This window comes from Homo sapiens, chromosome 2, assembly GCF_000001405.40.
Source record: "Homo sapiens chromosome 2, GRCh38.p14 Primary Assembly".
In the NCBI taxonomy this organism is placed as follows: Eukaryota; Metazoa; Chordata; class Mammalia; order Primates; family Hominidae; genus Homo; species Homo sapiens.
Genome location: NC_000002.12, coordinates 98644811 through 98665309, shown reverse-complemented (window position 1 = coordinate 98665309; position 20499 = coordinate 98644811). Strand labels below are relative to the sequence as shown.

The window sequence follows — 20499 nt, the reverse complement described above, 5'->3', positions numbered from 1 at the left end:
TTGCCCAGGCTGGTGTGCAGTGGCGCGATCTTGACTCACTGCAACCTCCGCCTCCTGGATTTAAGCAATTCTCCTGCCTCAGCCTCCTGAGTAGCTGGGACTACAGGCGCCCGCTACCACACCCAGCTAATTTTTTGTATTTTTAGTAGAGACAGGGTTTCACCGTGTTAGCCAGGATGGTCTCGATCTCCTGACCTCGTGATCCACCCGCCTCGGCCTCCCAAAGTGCTGGGATTACAGGCATGAGCCACCACACCCAGCCCCTGGCATTAGAATTCTGTGAATTATAAGTATTTTTTAGTATCTCCAAAAAATTGTTGCATGATTAAGACTAAGTTGTTTTTACCATATTTAAAATACTTCTGTATTGATACATAGCGTACTAAGACTTTAAGGCATAATTTTTAAAAATTTACTTTGAAATACCTCTATAATGCAGTATAAGTGTTCCTAAAAATCACTGTGGTATGAAAATGGTGCAAAAAAATGAGAGCAAGGGGGTTAGGATCACAACACTCAAACACTTTGTCAGTTACACTATAAAAAAGGATAAGAACCTAATTATAATAGTGGCACAGTTTTTCGCAAGTTAAATGATTAAGAAACACATAAATGTGGCATTCCATCTTGAAAAAGCCCTGAGATTTGCTTGTTGAAGTGGGTTGCTGAAGGATTGCAGCTTGTAAGTTATTGTGAAGGGCTGTGAGGTAGGTTATTTGCAATCTGATGGAAGGTTGCAACACCCAGTGTGGATGGGTGTGGTTGATAGTTGTGGTGAACTGAGACAGCTGGTAGGTATTTTGAGGTGCGTGCATTTTGTATGCAGTATTTCTACATGGTTCGGTTTAATTTTCTGAACTCAATTCAGCTGGGTACAATTTTCTGTTGTTCACCTGGTGTTTGTCTCAGAGGACAAATTGCACGTAAGCTAATGTGAAATTCATGTGTTATGCCCCAGTTTTTCCCTAATATGTTAATCATGTAGAAACAAATTTGCATTGAAAACAAGCATTATAGGAACATTGACTGTAATTTTAGTCTTTAAAAATGTTGCACAAATAGTACACAAAGTTTTCTCTTTTTTTTTTTTTTTTTTTTTTTTTTTTTTTGAGATGGAATCTTGCTTTGTCACCCAGGCTGGAGTGCAGGGGCACAATCTCAGCTCACTGCAACCTCTGCCTCCCAGGCGATTCTTGTGCCTCCACCTCCCAAGTAGCTGGGATTATAGGTGTGCGCCACCATGCCCAGATAATTTTTGTATTTTTAGTAGAGACCGGGTTTCGCCATGTTGGCCAGGCTGGTCTGAAACTCCTGAGCTCAAGCAGTGTACCACCTGTACCTCCCAAAGTGCTGGGATTACAGGCGTGAACCACTGTGCCTGGTCACAAAGTTTTCATATGCCCTTACCCAGTGTCCCTACATGACCATAGTATAGCGATCAAAAACCAGGAAGTTAACGTTGATGCTACACTGTTCACTAACCTTAGCTCTTACTCCGATTTTGTCATGTGTTTCATTGTTGCTGTTTTTCTCTTTCAGGATCCAAATCAAGATCCCATATTTCACTTAATTGTCGTGGTTCCTTAGTCTTTTCCAATCGGGGACCATTCATTACTCTGTCTTTCATGACCTTGACACTTTAAAGAGTACTGTTATTTTGTGGAGCATTGCCCCAGTTTGGATTTTTCTGATGTTTCTTTACGGTTAAGTTGAGGTTATGCATTGTTGGCAAGAACAACCACAGAACTGATGTTGTGCTCTTCTCGGCATGTCACATGCTTGAAGTCGAGAGATAAGACATTAGTTTTTAAGATATGTTTAGTGTTTTTAAGTTTTAGTTGTAAAATACAGTTTGCTGTTTATACTTCGCAGCCATTCATTTTTTAGTGTGAAGTTTAATGTCTTTCATTTTTATCAGTTCTTTTTTTCTTATGGTTAAGCCATGTGAAAATGAATTACAGTATTACAGGTATGCCCTTGTATTCTTTATTTTTCTTCCTGAAACTTAATATATTTTGATCCATCAGTTATTCCTATCAATTTGAGAGGGTATAATACTTTTGAAATAGAAGTGTTTTTCTGTATTGTCCTTGTACAGTTTTTTAATATAATTACTATTTTTTTTTCCAGTTTCAATAGTCATGGGCATTCCCACAGTGAAGAGAGAAGTTAAATCTTACCTCATAGAAACTCTTCATTCCCTTATTGATAACCTGTATCCTGAAGAGAAGTTGGACTGTGTTATAGTAGTCTTCATAGGAGAGGTAATTATTTAATTGTTGTTATGTTTTTACCAAATATAGCCTATAAGAGTTGAAACTCTAATTGAATATTTGAATATGCTTTTAAAAACGCTTTTTAAAAAATGTGATGAGTAAAGCTTAGGTAATATATTCTATCTGGTAGTTTAATGTAAATTGAACTCACTTCTGTCCTGCAATTACAAACCAGGAATAGTAATATTTGTTGTCAATAGGATGTTACACCCGTAGATCTTTAAGAACGTGTGCCTATTTCTAGCTCTAAGACTTAAATTTGGAGATTTGCACTGATGATCTTTGGGAGTCCTGAAACCTGAAAAAGGTTTAGGCTCAGCTGGGGTTTTATCATTCTTTTATTCTCTCCATCCCTTCTCTGTACTCCTAAGAAATCATGTGAATGAGAAATACCACACTTCTTGTATTTTAGTCTCCTCAAAAGATTTAGAGAAAGAATAAATCTTGAGCAAGTTCTTTTTAAATCATGAGGAATAAGACCCTAGAGTAAATATTTTCTTAATTATTGTATAGAATTTCAGAATGGGAAAGGATTTAGGACATGGTCTAGTTCTGGCCCACTAATTCCTAACTTTTTAGAGTTCCCCATGTCTTTTTAAATGAAAATGGTCTTGATGATTTCCTTATTAGAGAAGTAAACAAATGCATACTGTTCAAAACAATTACATAAATATATAATGAAAAATTACCTGTTACTCCTCTACATAAATATAACTATTTCAAATTATATGTTAAGACTTTTTGTTCTGAAATAATTTTAGATTTACAGAAAGTTGCAGAAATTATAGAGGGTATCTCCTTCACTCAGCTTGCTCTGATGTTAACAACATATGTAGCCATATTATAGTTATCAAAACCAGGAAATTAACACTGATATAATACTCAACCAAACTACAGACTTTATTTGAGTTTCCTGTTTTTCCGCCTGGGTTCGCCTTTCTGTTCCAGCATGCACTATGGAACACCACATTGCAGTTAGCGGTTCTCATGCCTTAGCTTCCTCCTGTCCATGTTTGTGTCTTTCATGAACTTGGACATTTTTGATGGGCACTGGTCAGTTATTTTGTAAAATGTCTCAGTTTGGATTTATCTGATATTTTCTCATGATTATATTTTGACTATGCATTTTTGGCAAGAATAATATGACTTGCCTTTTTAAAAAGGATCCTGCTGTCTGCTTTGGTAAGGGCAAAAGAAAGGAGACTACTTAGAAAGCTGTTGCCATAATCGAGGTGAGGCTTGGACTGGGAGACTGTTCATGGAGGTGATCAGAGATGGGTAAATTATGAACATGTTTTTAACTAAATGGGTTCTAATAAAAAATGAGAACCATTGCTATAGCATCAACATGCTATTAAGGACAAAGCTCCAATTAATGAACTTAAAATAGCCCTTTTAATGTTTTCTGTTTAGTTTTGTACATTTGAATAGAAATATGTATCAAATTTAGGCTTAAATGTCAAGTCTTCAGAGAGATTTTCTCTGAATGTAATGTTTAAGTAGGCCATCTCTGTTTTTCCTCTATTATTGCATTCTATTTTTATAACACAATATTCAGTTATATATACACATACATATGTGTACATATTTTTGTTTGTTTGCTTATGAACTGCTTCTCTCACCAGTTTTAAGTTCTACAAACAGAGATCTTCTTTATTTACCAACCTATACTCAGAGCTTGATAATATGGATACAGTGGATCCATGTATGTATCCAGTATGGATACAGTGTATATATCCATCCGTTTCTTTTCTCCACATTCTTCCTAATACTTGTTATCTTTTGTCTTTTTGACAGTTAGCCATCCTGACAGATGTGATGATATCTGATTGTGGTTTTAATTTGCATTTCCCTAATGATTAGCAGTGTTGAGGATTTTTCGTATATCTGTTGGCCATTTGTATGTCATCTTTTGGGAAATGTCTGTTCAGGTCCTTTGCCTATTTTTTCAGTGTTTTTTCTTACTCTTGAGCTGTTTGAGTTCCTTATATATTTTGGATATTAACTGTTTATCAGATGTGCAGCATGCAGATATTTTCTCCTAACCCATAGGTTGTCAGGCATGCTGTTAATTATTTCCTTTGCCATGTAGAAGAGTTTTAGTTAGATGTGATCCTATTTGTCTATTTTTGTTCTTGTTGCCTGAGCTTTTGGGGTCATATCCAAAAAACCATTGCCCAGGCCAATGTCGTGTAGTTTTTCCCTTATGTTTTCTTCTGGTAGTTTTAGAGTCTTCTTTTGTTTTCAATCCATTTTGAGTTTATTTGTATATTTCACGTGAGTTGAAGTTCCACTTTCATTCATCTGTATGTGGATATCCAGTTTTCTCAGCACCATTTACTAAAGAAACTTTTTTCATTGAGTGTTCTTGGCACCTTTGCTGAAAATCAATTGACCATACATACATGAGTTCATTTCTAGGCTCTATATTCTGTTCCATTGGCCAGTGTGTCTGTTTTTTAAAAATCAATACCATACTGTTTACATTATTATAGCTTCATAGTATAGTTTGAAATAATAAAGTGTGTTGCCTCCAGCTTTATTGTTTTTCCTCATGATTACCTTGGCTATTTGTTGTGTGTGTGTGTGTGTGTGTGTGTGTGTGTGTGTGTGTGCGCGTGCGTGTGTGTGTGTGTGTGTGGTTATATATGAATTTTAGGATTTTTTTCCCATTTCTGAGAAAAATGTCATTAAATTTTTTGATAGGGATTACATTGAATCTGTAGATCACTTTGGGTAATATGGACATTTAAATGATATTAATTCTTCCAATCCATGAGCAAAGATATCTATTTATTTGTGTGTTCTTCAAATTATTTCATCAACATTTTATAATTTTTGGTGTCTAGTTCTTTCACTTCCTTGGTTAAATTTTTTCCTAAGTATTTTTTTGGTAGCTATTTTAAATGGGATTGTTCTCTTGATTTCTTTTTCAGATAGTTCATTGTTAGTATGTAGAAATGCTACCGATGTTTGTATATTGTTTTCCAGAAAGCCTGTTATAAAAACTTTTTATAATTTGATGGTTTTGCAATTTCCAGGATTAAGCTATACCTTTTTTGTTTGTTTTTCTCAAGTATTAAGTGCTTTGACAGTCTTTATAACATAGATTATATTTTATATATCATTGAGTCTTTTAACAATTGAGCATTTTTATAAGTTATCGCTGTATTTAAAATTGATAGGTAGGTGTATTAGTCCATTTTTATGCTGCTGATAAAGACATACCCAAGACTGGGTAATTTATAAAGAAAAATGGACTCACAGTTCCACATGGCTGGAAAGGCCTCACAATCATGGCAGAAGGCGAAAGGCATGTCTTACATGGCAACAGACAAGAGAGAAAATGAGAATCAAGTGAAAGGGGGAAACCCCTTATAAAACCATGAGATCTTATAAGCCTTATTCACTATCACAAGAACAGTATGGGGGAAACTGCCCCCATGATTCAGTTATCTCCACAGGGTCCCTCCCAGAACACATGGGAATTATGGGAGCTACAATTCGAGATGAGACTTGGGTGGGGACACGCCAAACCATATCAATAGGGCTCTGGCTGGCTCAAAAATGTGGCTATGGCCCTGTAACCCAGCCTGCCATGTCCCTGGCCTGGTTGTCCCTTGGGCTTCCTGGGGTCCTTGAAGGGGCAAGGATCTGGAGTTAGGAGGAGGATGATGTCTGGACACACACACCGGAGAAATAATGCTCATAATTATTTACATTTGCCCATCACCTGTGCTCCACCCTGTTTGTCAGTCCTTACAGCTAGCCTAGAAAGTGGTTTCACTTTGACCCAATTTCACGGTCTTTGACATAGCATCAGAGACAGACTCCGTTTACCTCTTAGAGGAGAAAAGCTAATGATGTTTATCTCTGTTAGACCCCTGGGAGCCAGAGCCCTGGAACAAGCCAATTCTTACTGTTGAACGTCACCTCTTCCAGGCATCCTCTTCTGATGCTTCTACCCTCCATGCTGGGTTAGATCTGAACTTGGTTGAAAATGTCTGTTTAAAACATGCCTGCCATGCTTAGACTTGTTCACTGCAGTGCAGCCTGGCCTAGAGTAGGCATTCAGTAAATGTTTGTGAAATGTGAATATGTGATTCATTAAATCAATAAAGAAAATAAAGAAAAATTAATAAGAAGTATTAGAATTTTGACTTGTTCATAATTTAAAAATATGCAGATCTGATAAATGTTTATTTCTAACTGATTGAAGTGCTCTTGATTCAGTTCTCAGTGTCAGTGTAATATTAATATGGTGTAATAATAGCAGTTTTTTATTACATAGTTTTATCATTTAATCTCATAATCTGTAAGGTATTTCCTTTTTTTCATAGAATAGGTTGAAACTCAGAGAAATGACTTTAGAGTATGCAGTTCAGTAGCTACAGAGGCAAACCTTGAACCTAGGTTTTATGATTCCAAGTAGAAAAATCTTTCTTCATATCGTGCAGCATCTGTCACTAATGCTATTCACAATAGTTTGGATGTTTTGATAGAAGTAGTTTTTGTGTTCAGTTTTCCTAGTGAATGCAACACAGACAATTAAAATAATAAAAACTTCAATATCTGCTTATTAGCAAGTGCTCAGTGACATTCAGTAGTACAATAGAACAATACAGAAATGCAAATTTAATAAATTGTCTAAAAATTTAATGTATGGTTTTAATGAATGTTTTTATCATTCATTTAATTTCGAGTTCAGTATTAACAGTTAAATAAAAATATAAAAACTTGAATATAGATACATTTTTTTTCTTTCCCAGACAGATATTGATTATGTACATGGTGTTGTAGCCAACCTGGAGAAAGAGTAAGTTCTTCTTAATTATAAACATACAAATATTTTGGTTACTATTATCTCTTGGGTTTCTTGCTAAAAGAAAATGCCTTCCTTGATAGTTCATTTCTCTGTGGAGTTCATTGTTTATTAGATCACCTCTGATTGGTATTTGATATTGTCCCAAAGTAGGTGCATATATATCTAGTTATGTGATGGGATAAATTGGTTTATTTCATTATAGAAAAGACTTGAATGTCCTATGTATGTAACACTATTAAATAACAGTCTTTAATCTTGAAGACAGTGAATACAGAGAGAGTCATATGAGATTAAATCTTTCACACTGTATTTACCAGGCAAAATCTTCCTGCTCTCAGGGTAGATATTTAACGTAGTAATTTCAGACCTCAATTTTAAGCTATGTCTTAATCTGTTGTATTCTGCAAAGATTGAGTAGCAGTTTACTATGAGCGAGGCACATGGTAGGTAACAGAGGGAAAGCTTAGTAAGTTTCAGATATTATTTTTTATAATATTGCCTTAATAGTTTCAATAGCGTAATAAAATTAGTCTTGCTATGAATTTCTTCATTAAATTGTATCTGTTTTTTGTCCCTAAAAGATATACCTTCTACTTAAAAAGAAAAGACAAAAAAGAAGCAACAATTATTTGCTAACCCTACATTTAAAATAATGTGGCTCCTTGTCTATCAAAATGTTAAAATTGAATATTTAAAAACATTATAGTTCAGGATTAAATTGTTATTTGTTTGGTTTTCCTGAAGTGCTGAGTTTCTTGGAAGTCCTTATAGAAACAAAATTTGGCATAGACTTCTTAAGGAACAGGGCAGTAATGATTGGTCCCCTTTCCCACTGACCTCAGGGGCAAGTCTGTGGGCTTATGCAAGGATTCTGGTGATTTACATCTTCCTTAGTGTGTAGAAAACCAAGCTCAGACAAAAAGTACAGTTAAACATTAAGAACATTTGTGCAAAGGCAGGCAGTTGCACTAGCATTTTGTGGAGATTTGCAAAAATGAATCAAGGGAGAATGCAAATGCAAAAGAAATTGCAATTCAGTCAGTACAGACTAATTAAAAACTTTAGAAAGGGTTCTTAACCTCAGCCCAATGGACATTTTGGGCCAGATAATTTTTTGTTGTGGGGGCTGCCGTATGCATTGTAGAATGTGGGGCAGGATCCCTAATGTCTACCCACTAGGCGTCAGTAGTACTGATCACAGTTGTGGCAACCAGAACGTCTTCAGACATTGCTAAATGTCTTCCAGAGGGACAGAATCACCCCCAGTTGAGAAACACTGGTTGAGAATGACATGTGGTCTATAACCCACAAGCAAAGCTTCTTGAAGATGTAAGAGCTTTGGTTTTTGCAAAATATACGTATTTAAAGACACATACATACTTATTTGTTTTTCTTCAATTTTCTATTTTCTGTGAGACCTTGATTTTTTTTTTTTAATTCAGATACATTTTAGGAACGTTAATGCCTGCAGTTGGCTTAGGATTTCTATGCTACTTTAATAAGAGCAGTATTTTATAGTTTTTAAAGCATTACTTTAAAAAAAAACTTTTGCTATTGGAAAAAACTGTATTTTCTGTAAATGAAATCAGTGATGAGCTGCTCCTTTTAACACCTTGCGGCCATAACATTATACGTTGCTACAAATGATTACTGATGTGTTTTATGTTAAACACAGTGTATTGAGCTTTAAGATAAATAAAATCCCACAGAACTTAAGTAACTCAGCTAACTTTCTCATAATAGATTTTCTAAAGAAATCAGTTCTGGCTTGGTGGAAGTCATATCACCCCCTGAAAGCTATTATCCTGACTTGACAAACCTAAAGGAGACATTTGGAGACTCCAAAGAAAGAGTAAGGTGAGCATGTGCCGTTTAAAATCCTCCACACTTGTGAGTGTAAATATTTAATACATGTAGTTTTTATTTATCGAAGCTGAAAACATTTTAGAGTTGAATTTGGTAAAATATTCTAGGTAAGTCTCATTAAGTCCAGGACCGCTTGGAAATAATGTAGAGTTTTCTTAGAATATGTAAAAACTTAATATTAGCTTTTATTTTACTGTGTTTTCTTAAACTAGCTTTTAGATCCACTTCTCTTATGTGTTTCTGTAGGCTACCAGGAATTCACTGACAGGGTTTAATACTGTAAATTTAAATATGAATTTTTTAAAGCATTCAGTACCTATTTGTGAACTTTGATCTGCGTGCAAACAGTCCTAGGCACCAGAATAGGGACCCTAAAATTGTAATTTTTGAAGCACTCATTTGATGAAACATTAAGATATTACTGAAAAAAGGGTCTGTGGTCAAGGAAGTTTGGAAAAATATGTATTAAGAATTTTTTTCCCAATAAATGTCTTTACCGTTGGATATTTTTGTGCCTCTTATGAATTAATATGTTTCTAGAAGGGGAACATGTATACATACTTACTTGATATTAGACTCATTTTTTTCCTCAGGACAGCTTGAGAATTAGTGTTCTTGGGAATACATTTTGATAAAGTCTTCATTAGAGGAAAGTGAATTTTCTTTGACTCTTCGTCCTAAGTGAGTGTGTGTGTATGTGTGTGTGTGTACACATATACATAGATGACATGTTATGTAGACATTTGACATTTATACATTTAATCTTATTTTACTAAATTTGAGTCTGATTCCTAACTTACTTTTTGAAAATGTTTATTTCAGATGGAGAACAAAGCAAAACCTAGATTACTGTTTTCTAATGATGTATGCTCAAGAAAAGGGCATATATTACATTCAGGTAAGTGTAGTTTTTCCTTTGTTTTTCATGCTTGTAAAGAAAAAGTGTTATCAAGGGTATGTTTTCATTAAAACAGGAAGTTTTGAAAGTGCAAACCCTCTGAGATCTGACAAATCATAACTATCTCAGAGCAGAGGGGTCTCCATGGTAACTGAGCATGTGGGCTCTGATGTTTCTCCACTGAGTAGGGAAGCCAGCCCTCCACTTAGCGGGGGACCTGCAACTCACTTATCTTTTTCCTCTTTTTCTCCCATTCCCCCATCTTCTCTTCCCTCTTCCCTCTCTCCACTGTCAAGAAGAACTAAGATGTCATTATTTGGCAGATTTTAAAGAGGAATTTTCTTACAATTTTTCTTTAGTGGTCTTACAATGAACTAATTTTTTTTTGTAGGCCACAATACTGTTACCACTATTTTGAAGATAATAAAATTGACATTTAATTCTAACAGTCCAATTATTTTTAGCAGCACAACAGTCCAATTTTTACCAAGAACACAATATGTCATGGGATTACAGACACGAGCTGCTGCACCTGACATGTAGCATGTTTTAAAATTAGGAAGTATGAGGCCTCCAACTGTGTTCCCTTTTTTTTAAGACTATTTTGGCTGTTTAGGGTCACTTCAGACTCCATGTAAATTTGAGGAGGATTTTTTTCTATTTCTGTAAAAAATGCCTTGGGAATTTTGGTAGGGATTGTATTGAATCTGTAGATCGCTTTAGGTAGTGTGGACATTTTAATATTATTAAGTCTTCCAATACATGAGCACAAGATGTCTTTCCATTTATTTGTATCTTCTTTGATTTCTTTTAGAAATGTTTTGTAGAAAAATTTTCCACCTCCCCAGTTAGGTTTATTCCTAAGTATTTTATCTTTTTTGATACTACAGTAAATGGCATTGTTTTCTTGATTTTTTTTTTGGATTGGTCATTGTTAGTATACAAAAATACAACTATTTTTGTGTGTTGATTTTGTATCCTGAAACTTTGCTGAAATCATTTATTGCTTGTAGTTTTTGGTGGATTCTTTAGGTTTTTCTACATATAAGATTATTTCATCTGCAAATAATGATAATTTTACTTCTTCTTTTCCGGTTTGGGTACCTTTTACTTTTTTTACTTGTTTAATTGCTCTAGTTAGGATTTCCAGCACTATGTTGACTAGTAGTGGTGAAAGTGGGACTCCTTGCCCTGCTTCTAATCTTAGAGGGAAAGCTTTCATTTGTTTGCTGCCAAGTGTGATATTACCGATGGGCTTTTCATATATTACCTTTATTTTGTTGAATAAGTTTTTTTCTATTTCTAGTTCGTCACATTTTTTTTAATCAAGAAAGTGTCTTGAATGTTGTCAAATGCTTTTCCATACCAATTGAGATGATCATGTGTTTTTTTCCTCCATTTTGTTAATGTAGTATATGTTACACTGATTGATTTTTGTGTGTTGAACGATCCCTGTATTGCAGGTATAAATCCCACTTGGTTATGGTGTATATAATTCTTTTAATGTGCATTTTAATTCCATTTGCTAGTGTTCTGTTGAGGATTTTTGCATCAGGGATATTGGTCTGTAGTTTTCTTGTGTCTTTGTCTGGCTTTGGTGTCAGAGAAATGCAGGCCTCCTAGAATGTGTTTGAAAAGTGTTCCCTCTGTTTCAGTTCTTTGGAAGATAGCTGTTTGAGGAAGATTGATGTTAATTCTTTAAGTGTTCAGCAGAATTTTCCAGTGAAGTTCTCTGGTCCTGGGTTTTTCTTTGCTGAGAGGTTTTTGATTACTGCTTTAATCCCCTTAGTTATTATAAGTGTGTTCAAAGTTTTTATTTCTCCATGATTCACCCATGGAAAATTGTTTTTAGAGGTTTATCCATTTCTTGTAGATTATCCAATTTGTTGGCACATAATTGTTCCTAGTAGTCTCTTGTAATTCTTCTATTTCTGTGATATCAGTTGTTATGTTCCCTCTTTCATTTCTACTTTTAGTTATTTGAATCTTCTTTTTTTCTTAGCTAATCTAGCTAAGGGTTTATTAATTTTATTGATCTTTTCAAAAACCAACTCTAGGTTTCTTTGGGTTTTTTTCTGCTTTTTTTTTTCTATTTATTTATTTTTTTCTATTTATTTATCTGATCTAATCTTTATTTTTTTTTCTCCCTTCTGCTAATTTTGGGTTTAGTTTGTTTCTTTTTTTCAATTTCCTTGAGGTTGAAGTTAGGTTGCTGATTTTGAGATCTTTCTTCTTTTTTTTAATGTAAATGTTTACTGGTATAAACTTCCCTCTTTGTATGGCTTTTGCTATATATCATACATTTTGGTATATTTTTTTTTTTGTTTTCGTTTGTTTCTGGATTTTTTTCTAAATCCCTTGTGATTTCTTCTTTGACCCATTGGTTGTTTAGGGGCGAGTTGTTTAATTTCCACACATTTGTGTATTTTCTGGGTTTACTTTTCTGCTATTGACTTCTAGTTTCATTTTGTTGTAGTCAGAGAAGATACATTGCATAGTTTTAGTCTTCTTAAATTTGTTGGTGGGCGGCACTGGCTCACACCTGTAATCCCAACACTTTGGGAGGCTGAGGTGGGCAGGTCACTTGAGTTCAGGAGTTCAAGAGTTCAAGACCAGTCTGGGCAACATGACGAAATCCTGTCTCTAATAAAAATACAAAAAATTCACTGGGCATGGTGGTGCATACCAGTAGTCCCACCTACTCGGGAGTCTGAGGTGGGAGTATCAGTTGAGCCCAGGAGATTGAGGCTACAGTGAGCCTTGTGCTCTCCAGCCTGGGTGACAGAGTGAAAACCTGTCTTAAAAAAAATTGTTGGCTGGGCACGGTGGCCCACGCCTGTAATCCCAGCACTTTGGGAGGCTGAGGTGGGCAGATCACAAGGTCAGGAGATCGAGACCATCCTGGCTAACACGGTGAAACTCCGTCTCTACTAAAAATACAAAAAATTAGCCGGGCGTGGTGGCGGGCGCCTAGTAGTCCCAGCTACTAGGGAGGCTGAGGCAGGAGAATGGCGTGAACCCGGGAGGTGGAGCTTGCAGTGAGCCGAGATAGCGCCACTGCACTCCAGCCTGGGCGACACAGTGAGACTCTGTCTCAAAAAAAAAAAAAAAAAAAAATTGTTGAGATATTATGGGGCCTAACATGTGGTCTGTCTTGGAGAATGTTCCATATGCTCTTGAGAAGAATGTGTATTCTGCTGTTGTTGGGATCAGTGTTCTTTATGTCTGTCGGGTCCGTTTGATTATAGTGTTGTTTAAGTCCGATGTTTCCTTATTGATCTTCTGTCTGATCTATCCATAACTGAAGTAGAATATTGAAACCCCCTAGTATTATTGTGGTGGTGTTTGTTTCTTCTTTCAATTCTGTCAGTGTTGACTTCATATATCTGAGACCTCTATTATTAGGTGCATCTTTATTTAGAATTGTTATGTCTTTTCAGAGATTTGACTGACCCTTTTATTATTGTACAATGTCCTTCTTTGTCTCTTGTGACAGTTTTTGTCTTAAAGTCTTATTTTGTCTAAGTATGGCCATCCTTGTTTTCTTTCAGTTCTGGATTTCATGAATTATCTTTTTTCATTCTTTCACTTTTAACCTATGTGTGTCTTTTGATGTAAAGTAAGTTTCTTGTAGATAGTATATTAATAGATCTCATTAAAAATTTCCATTTGGCCTAACTGTGTCTTTTAATTGGGATGTTTGACCCATTTACATTTTTAGTGATTACTAATACAGAAAGACTTACTATTGCCATTTACTTTATTTTTTTGTATGTCTTGGAACTTTTTGTCTATCTTTTCCTCTCTTGCTGCTTTCTTTTGTGTTTCGTTGATTTTTTAAAATAGTGACGTATTTTGATTCCCTTTCTATTTCCTTTTGTGTATATTCAATAGATACTCATTTTGTAGTTACCATTGCAATTACATATCTTAAAGTTATAACAGTCTATTTATTACTTCAATGACAAATAAAATCTCTACTCTTTTACATCTCTGTCTCCCCTGCACTCTATTTTACCAATGACACCAGTGACCGCTTTTTATATTGCATATACATTAACTCAGATTTATAATTATTGTTTGTGCTTTTAGTCTTTAAGAAGTGATTTTAATGTGATCAAAAGATTTGAAAGGGGTACCAGATTTTAAAGTGATTCATGCACCTGCATTACCTTACTACGTCTATATTTATCTGTATATTTACCTTTACCAGGGAGTTTTATATTTTTATATGGTGCTTTATTACTGCTTATTGACCTTTCACTTCAACTTGAAAATGTTCCTTCAGCAGTAGGGCAGGTCTAGTGGTGATGAACTCACTCAGCTTTTGTTTATCTGGGAAAGTCTTAATTTCTTTCTTTCTTTCTTTCTTTTTTTTTTGAGATGGAGTCTTGCTCTGTTCCCCAGGCTGGAGTGCAGTGGCACAATCCCAGCTCACTGCAACCTCCACCTTGCTGCGCCCAGCCTGAACATTCTTTTTTTCTTTTCCTTTTTTTTGAGATGGAGTCTTGCTCTGTCGCCCAGGCTGAAGTGCAGTGGCGCGATCTCGGCTCACTGTAAGCTCCACCTTCCGGGTTCACGCCATTCTGCCTCAGCTTCCCGAGTAGCTAGGGTTACAGGTGCCCACCACCACACCCAGCTAATTTTTGTATTTTTAGTAGAGATGGGGTTTCACCGCGTTGTTCAGGCTGGTCGCGAACTCCTGACCTCAGGTGATCCACCTGCCTCGGTCTCCCAAAGTGCTGGGATTACAGGTGTGAGCCACCGCGCCTGGCCTTCTTTACTTTTGAATTACAATTTTGTCAGATATAATATTCTTGGCTGGCCAGTTTTTGTTTAGTATGTTTTAGCACTTTGAACATATCATTCCACCCTCTTCTAGCCTATAATAAAGTTTCTTCTGGGAAATCTGCTGATAATCTAATAGACGTTATCTTGTATTTGTTGGGTCACTTTCCTCTTATGGCTTTCAGGATTCTTTGTGACTTTTGACAACTTCATTATGATTCTTCTTGGTGTAGATCAATTTATTGTAGTTGGGGTTCTTTGAACTTTTTGAATTTGTATGTCCATTTCTATCCTCATATTTGGGAAGTTCAAATAGGCTCTCTTCTCCTTGTAGAACTCTCATAATGTGTATGTTGTTTCACTTTGTGCTGTCCATAGGTCCCTTAGGGTATCGCTATTTTTCTGTTATTCTTTTTTCTTTTTGCTCCTGTGCCTCAGTAATTTCAAAAGTCCTATCTTTAAGTTCACTGATTCTTCTGCCTGCTCAGGTCTGCTGTTTAGTCCTTCTAGTGAAATTTTCAATTCAGGTTTTGTATTCTTCAGTTTTAGAATTTCTGTTTGGCTCTTTATAGTTTCTATCTCTATTGATATTCTCATTTTGTTCATGCATCATATTCCAAATTTCATTTAGTTGTCTGTCTCTGCTCTCTTTTAATTTACTGAGCAATCTTATGACAGTTATTTTGAATTACTGGGCAGTTCATATGTCTTCATTTCTTTGGGGTTGGTTTCTGGAGTTTTAACTTGTTCCTTTGGATATACCATATTTTTGTTTATTTGTATATCTTGTTTTTTGTTGTTGGGATCTTGGCATTTGAAAAATCAGCCACCTCTCCCAGTCTTTGCAGTTTGGTTTTGTAGTGGAAGGATTTTCTTCAGTCAGCCTAGTTAAAGACTCTGGAGCCCTTTGAGCCTTTTCTGGGGCCATGTCCTCTCTGCTTGTGGGTGTAATCTCCTAATTGAAGTTGACTGGTTTCTAGTCAGGAGCTCTGCAGCACTGTGGCCTTGTTGGTATTGTAGTAAGCTGCAGTACTGGAGCTCCACCTAGTTTCTGTCTCTGGTACTGCAGCCTCTGGTGCCAACTGATGGCCTTTGTTCTTAGCTCCCAACCTGGTGCCCTGTTCCTGACACTATGATTTAGATGAGACAGAAATCATTCCCTCTGGCTGCACTCGAAAAAGTCAAAAACACTGGGTATACACCAACTTCTTTCTCTCCTTAGGGAGAAGTCGGGAATTGAGTGTTTCCTCACTGTGGTCTGTGCCCAAGAGAGGGCCTCTGGCTGTGGAATGCTCAGATTTTAAATCTGTGTCTCGTGTGGGGAATGTGTCTTGTGTGTCTGGGTTTCCTGTTTCTGTCTCGCTGATGTCACTCTCACACAGCCCTCTTTTACAGTAGAGGATCATGCTGTATGTACTGTCTGATAACCTTTTTTGCTGTCACTTAACATACTGTTGATAGGTACCTTGCTATGCCAGTAAATACAGATTGGTGTGATTTTTAATCCCTTCTTGAAGTCCTGTTATTCAGATATCATAATCAACCTTCTTGTTGGTCATTTAGATTGTTTCTAATTGTTCAGTTCTTTCGAAGTCAAATTCAATGAACATTCTTTTGTTTTTCAGAGACAGAGTCTGACTGTCACACAGGCTGGAGCGCAGTGGCACAGTCATAGCTCATGGCAGCCTCAAACACCTGGGCTCAAGTGATCCTCCTGTTTTAGCCTCCCAGGAAGCTGGGACTAAGGCATGCACCACCATACTGGGTTAATTTTTGTATTTCTTTTTGGTAGAGATGGGAGTATTGCTAAGTTGCCCAGGCTGGTCTTGAACTCCCGGCCTCAAATGATCCTGCTGCCTCTGCCTTTCAAAGAGCAGGTGTTACAGGTTTGAGCCACTGGTCCACTGGTGTCAGTGAGCTTTTTTTTTTTTTTTGGAGACAGGGTCTTCCTCTCTTGCCAAGGCTGGAGTGCAGTGGTGCAAACACAGTTCACAGCTCGCTGCATCCTTGACCTGGGTCATATGATCCTCCCACCTCAGCCTCCTGTGCGGCTGGGGCCACAGACATGCACCACCATGCCTGGCTAATTTTTTTTTTTTTTACTTTTTGTAAAAACAGGGTCTCACTTTGTTGCCCAGGCTGTTTTTGTTTGTTTGTTCGAGACATAGTCTCCCTCTAGCCCAGGCTGGACTGCAATGGTGTGATCTCAGCTCACTGCACCCTCTGCCTCCCGGGTTCAAGTGATTCTCCTGCCTCAGCCTCCCAAGTAGGTGGGATTACAGGCACTTGGCACCAGGCCTGGCTAATTTTTTGTATTTTTAGTGGAGACAGGGTTTCACCATGTTGGCCAGGCTGGTTTCAAACTCCTGACCTCAAGTGATCCACCTGTCTCAGCCTCACAAAGTGCTGGGATTACAGGTGTGAGCCACCACACCCAGCCTGAACATTCTTAAAATAATCACATTTGCCCAAAAATTATGCCTCAGGAAAGAGGGAGTTGCTTTATATTCAAGTCTTCACATACGCTTATTATGTGGAATTCTCTCAGTGAGTTCATTGTCATCTACAGAGTATTAGTGGGAAAAACATATTAGCCTAAAAAGTTCTCAGTTAATGGTAGTTTTAAATGTTCATACAGGTTAGATTTTACCTGTGACATTTTGTTGAAGACTAAGATGAGAGGTGATGTGGCAAAGGAATTTATTCCAGACGTCATAATTATCCCCTTGGGATATGACTCCAGGTTTGCATGGTTTGGGAATGTATCACATCCATGACTCTTAAAGAATGCTTTCCAAAAGGCAGTAGAGTCAGGGGTTACTTTGTGATTGTCATAGACATACCCCTCAGGGGAAAGGGAGATGCTGTGGCTTGGAATGGAGTTTCCACTGACAGCATCATACGGTTTCATAAAGTGCTTTATTGCAAAAAACTCTGAGTTGAACACGGTGCCTTCTGGAAAACTGATAGATGATGCAGGCACTTCACAGGTGGTGCTTGAGTAAGTCTTACGGTAGCGCATAAGAAAGCGCGTTATGGGCCGGGCGCAGTGGCTCACGCCTGTAATCCCAACACTTTGAGAGGCCGAGGCGGGTGGATCACCTGAGGTCAAGGGTTCGAGACCAGCCTGGCCAACATGGTGAAACCTCATCTCTACTAAAAATACAAAAAAAATTAGCTAGGCGTGGTGGCGTGTGCCTGTAGTCTCAGCTACTTGGGGAGGCTGAGGCAGGAGAATCACTTGAACCCAAGAGGCAGAGGTTACAGTGAGCCGAGATTGTACCACTGCACTCCAGTGTGGGCGACAGAGGGAAACTCCATCTCAAAAATAAAAAATAAAAATAAAAAAAGAGCACATTACATCAGGCAGTCCCACCTCCAGCGAGGCTGAGAGTAATCAGTGGGTTCCATATGCCTGCCTCATTGCTGCATTATAAATTTAGCTCTCCAGCAGCTGTTCCACTTAAGGTTTCAGCATCCATTGATTATTTTTCCCTAGATCACTTATTTCATTAGCGGTTTCCAAGTGGTGCTTTCCTAATTCTGTAATTGCTAATGCTCTTAGCTTAGTTCTAAATGCTATGTTGAGTTCTTCTATAAAGAATTTTTCTTCCTTTATTAGATTACCTTGAAAAACAGTTCTTAAAGAAAGGCTGGAGTAAATGCTTGATTTCATGCTCTTACTAATTTTTAAAGTTGGTGCCTTAGCAATCTACAGTTGTGGCTGTTTTTAAAGTATCATTATGTTACCTATTGGGTACTATGTTCACCATTTGGATGGTGGGCTCAATAGAAGCCCAAACCCCAGCATTATGCAATCTATCCATGTAACAGACCTGCACATGCATCCCCTTAAAAACAATGTATCGTTATGAAGTGATGGATATTTAAAATACATTTGATTTGCCACAGTCCATTGCAATCATTATTCTTATTGATGCTTTCATTGGTACATCATAATCCAGTGGGAACCCCTTCAAATTGGCTTTTGTATCCTTTCTATATAAGTCCAGCAATCTTTTTGGGGGCTCAAGTGATCCTCCTGCCTTAGCCTTCCAAGTAGCTAGTATTACAGGTACCCACCCCCATGCCTGGCTAATTTTTTAATTTTTTGTAGAGATGAGGTCTTGCTCTGTTGCCTAGGCTCATCTTGAACTCCTGGGCAACTCAAGCCATCTACCTGCTTGGGCCCCCCGAAGTGCTGGGATTACAGGCGTGAGCCACTGTGCCTGGCCTCAGTAATTGTGATTGTTTCTTTGATGATTGGCACATCTTGCGCATTTCCTATCCCAGATCTGGAATCGATCATTGAGGAGTGCTATTCCTCTTCAGGGTGTGTGGTATATAGAAGCACAATCTGGGCGCTTAAAGGTGCTCATTGCTATTGTCTTGTTTTTGCTTCTAGGACTTTCAGCAAGAAAAAGTGTATTTTATTTTACAGAGGAAAAAAAAATCACACGTTTGTATTGATAGTTCCAATTCAAACTGGATTAAGATGTAAGATTTTAGGGTTATAATAAAATTATAGGACTTTTACTTAGCTTTTCAAATTTTTACGTGTATTTATTTTCTTTTATATTGAAAGCCTTGGTTTTCAATAATATCCTAATAATATAATTTTTTATTCTGTAATATACGTAAAATAGCTTCACAATATCAATACCATTATCACTACTAACAGTAAGACTACTAAATTCAGTTTAAACTTTCTTTGTGCTTTCTACCCCATAGAATGTATCCTGATATCCTCCTTCTCTTTTTCCCCCTCCCTCCCCATAACTTCTGCTGTGATAAGACCTTTATCTTGTGCTCTCTCTGCCCCATCCACTCACATGTCAGCATCATTCCAGCTGTCTTACTTGGAAAGGATGTCCTCATTTTCCTCATTGTTATTTCCCATAGAAAGGAGTGGCTTAGTTGACTTACGATGTATTTCTTCCATTTTGTTTTCTTCACTTTCTTTTAATAATATCTAGCTTTATATTTTTATTGTTTTTACCATTGTCTTCTTCATTTTCATGATAAAGGTATGCTTGTATTTTTCCATAATAATATCCTTCTCTCAATACCTTTCTTTTTTTGATGTATTAATATGATTGTTCAATTTTCTCTAGCTTGAAGATGATATTATTGTCAAACAAAATTATTTTAATACCATAAAAAATTTTGCACTTCAACTTTCTTCTGAGGAATGGATGATTCTAGAGTTTTCCCAGCTGGGCTTCATTGGTAAGAAAAGTGTCACACTTACCTACTTTTCATAAATAACTGTGACTCTCAGAATCTAAAACCAAGTAGCTACTTGTCCTAAAGATGTCTTTTTTTCCTATGGAAATGGGTTGTTTTAGAGAAAACTTAAGTTAGGTAAACCTCTTTGTATGACATGATGAAAGTCAACCCAGAATAGAATTTGGAGACTTCTAAGATTATTGTATTTACTGTAGCGTTCTTCACAATGCCAACCGTGGTGCTGGTGAGCATGTTTGATTTTTTCTTCTCTGGCATTTCCAGCTCCTTTGTTAACATAAGATTGCAGTTCTTTTAAAAACAATACCACAAAGAGTTTTCTCATATAAATTCCTAGTATTTTCATGCAATGCATGAAGTCCTAATTCAGTGATTAATTTTTATTCGTTTTTCTCTTAACTAGTTGGGGCACTCATTTCTAAATGGTTTTTGGCTGATGTTTCAAAATTAGCCAGCTTAAGAATATGTTTAAAGTTAGCCAGGCGCAGTGGCTCACGCCTGTAATCCCAGCACTTTGGGAGGCCGAGGCGGGTGGATCACCTGAGCTCAGAAGTTCAAGACCAGTCTGGCCAACATGGTGAAACCCTGTCTCTACTAAA

General features: G+C 36.9%; 1 protein-coding gene across 2 annotated transcripts in view; it reads left to right on the top strand.

The window, feature by feature from the left end:
• The window catches only part of MGAT4A (alpha-1,3-mannosyl-glycoprotein 4-beta-N-acetylglucosaminyltransferase A), a 112027-nt gene that overhangs the window by 65823 nt on the left and 25705 nt on the right, over window positions 1-20499 (top strand). Inside the window, exons 1-6 of one of the 2 annotated variants that reach the window (NM_001160154.2) lie at window positions 1837-1969; window positions 2131-2264; window positions 7046-7092; window positions 8845-8958; window positions 9790-9865; window positions 19768-19882. In NM_001160154.2, coding sequence (NP_001153626.1) covers window positions 1951-1969; window positions 2131-2264; window positions 7046-7092; window positions 8845-8958; window positions 9790-9865; window positions 19768-19882 — 505 coding nt within the window. In that variant the 5' untranslated portion in view covers window positions 1837-1950. Of the gene's footprint in view, window positions 1-1836; window positions 1970-2130; window positions 2265-7045; window positions 7093-8844; window positions 8959-9789; window positions 9866-19767; window positions 19883-20499 lie in introns of those variants that run through there. The other variant, NM_012214.3, reaches the window with a different exon arrangement.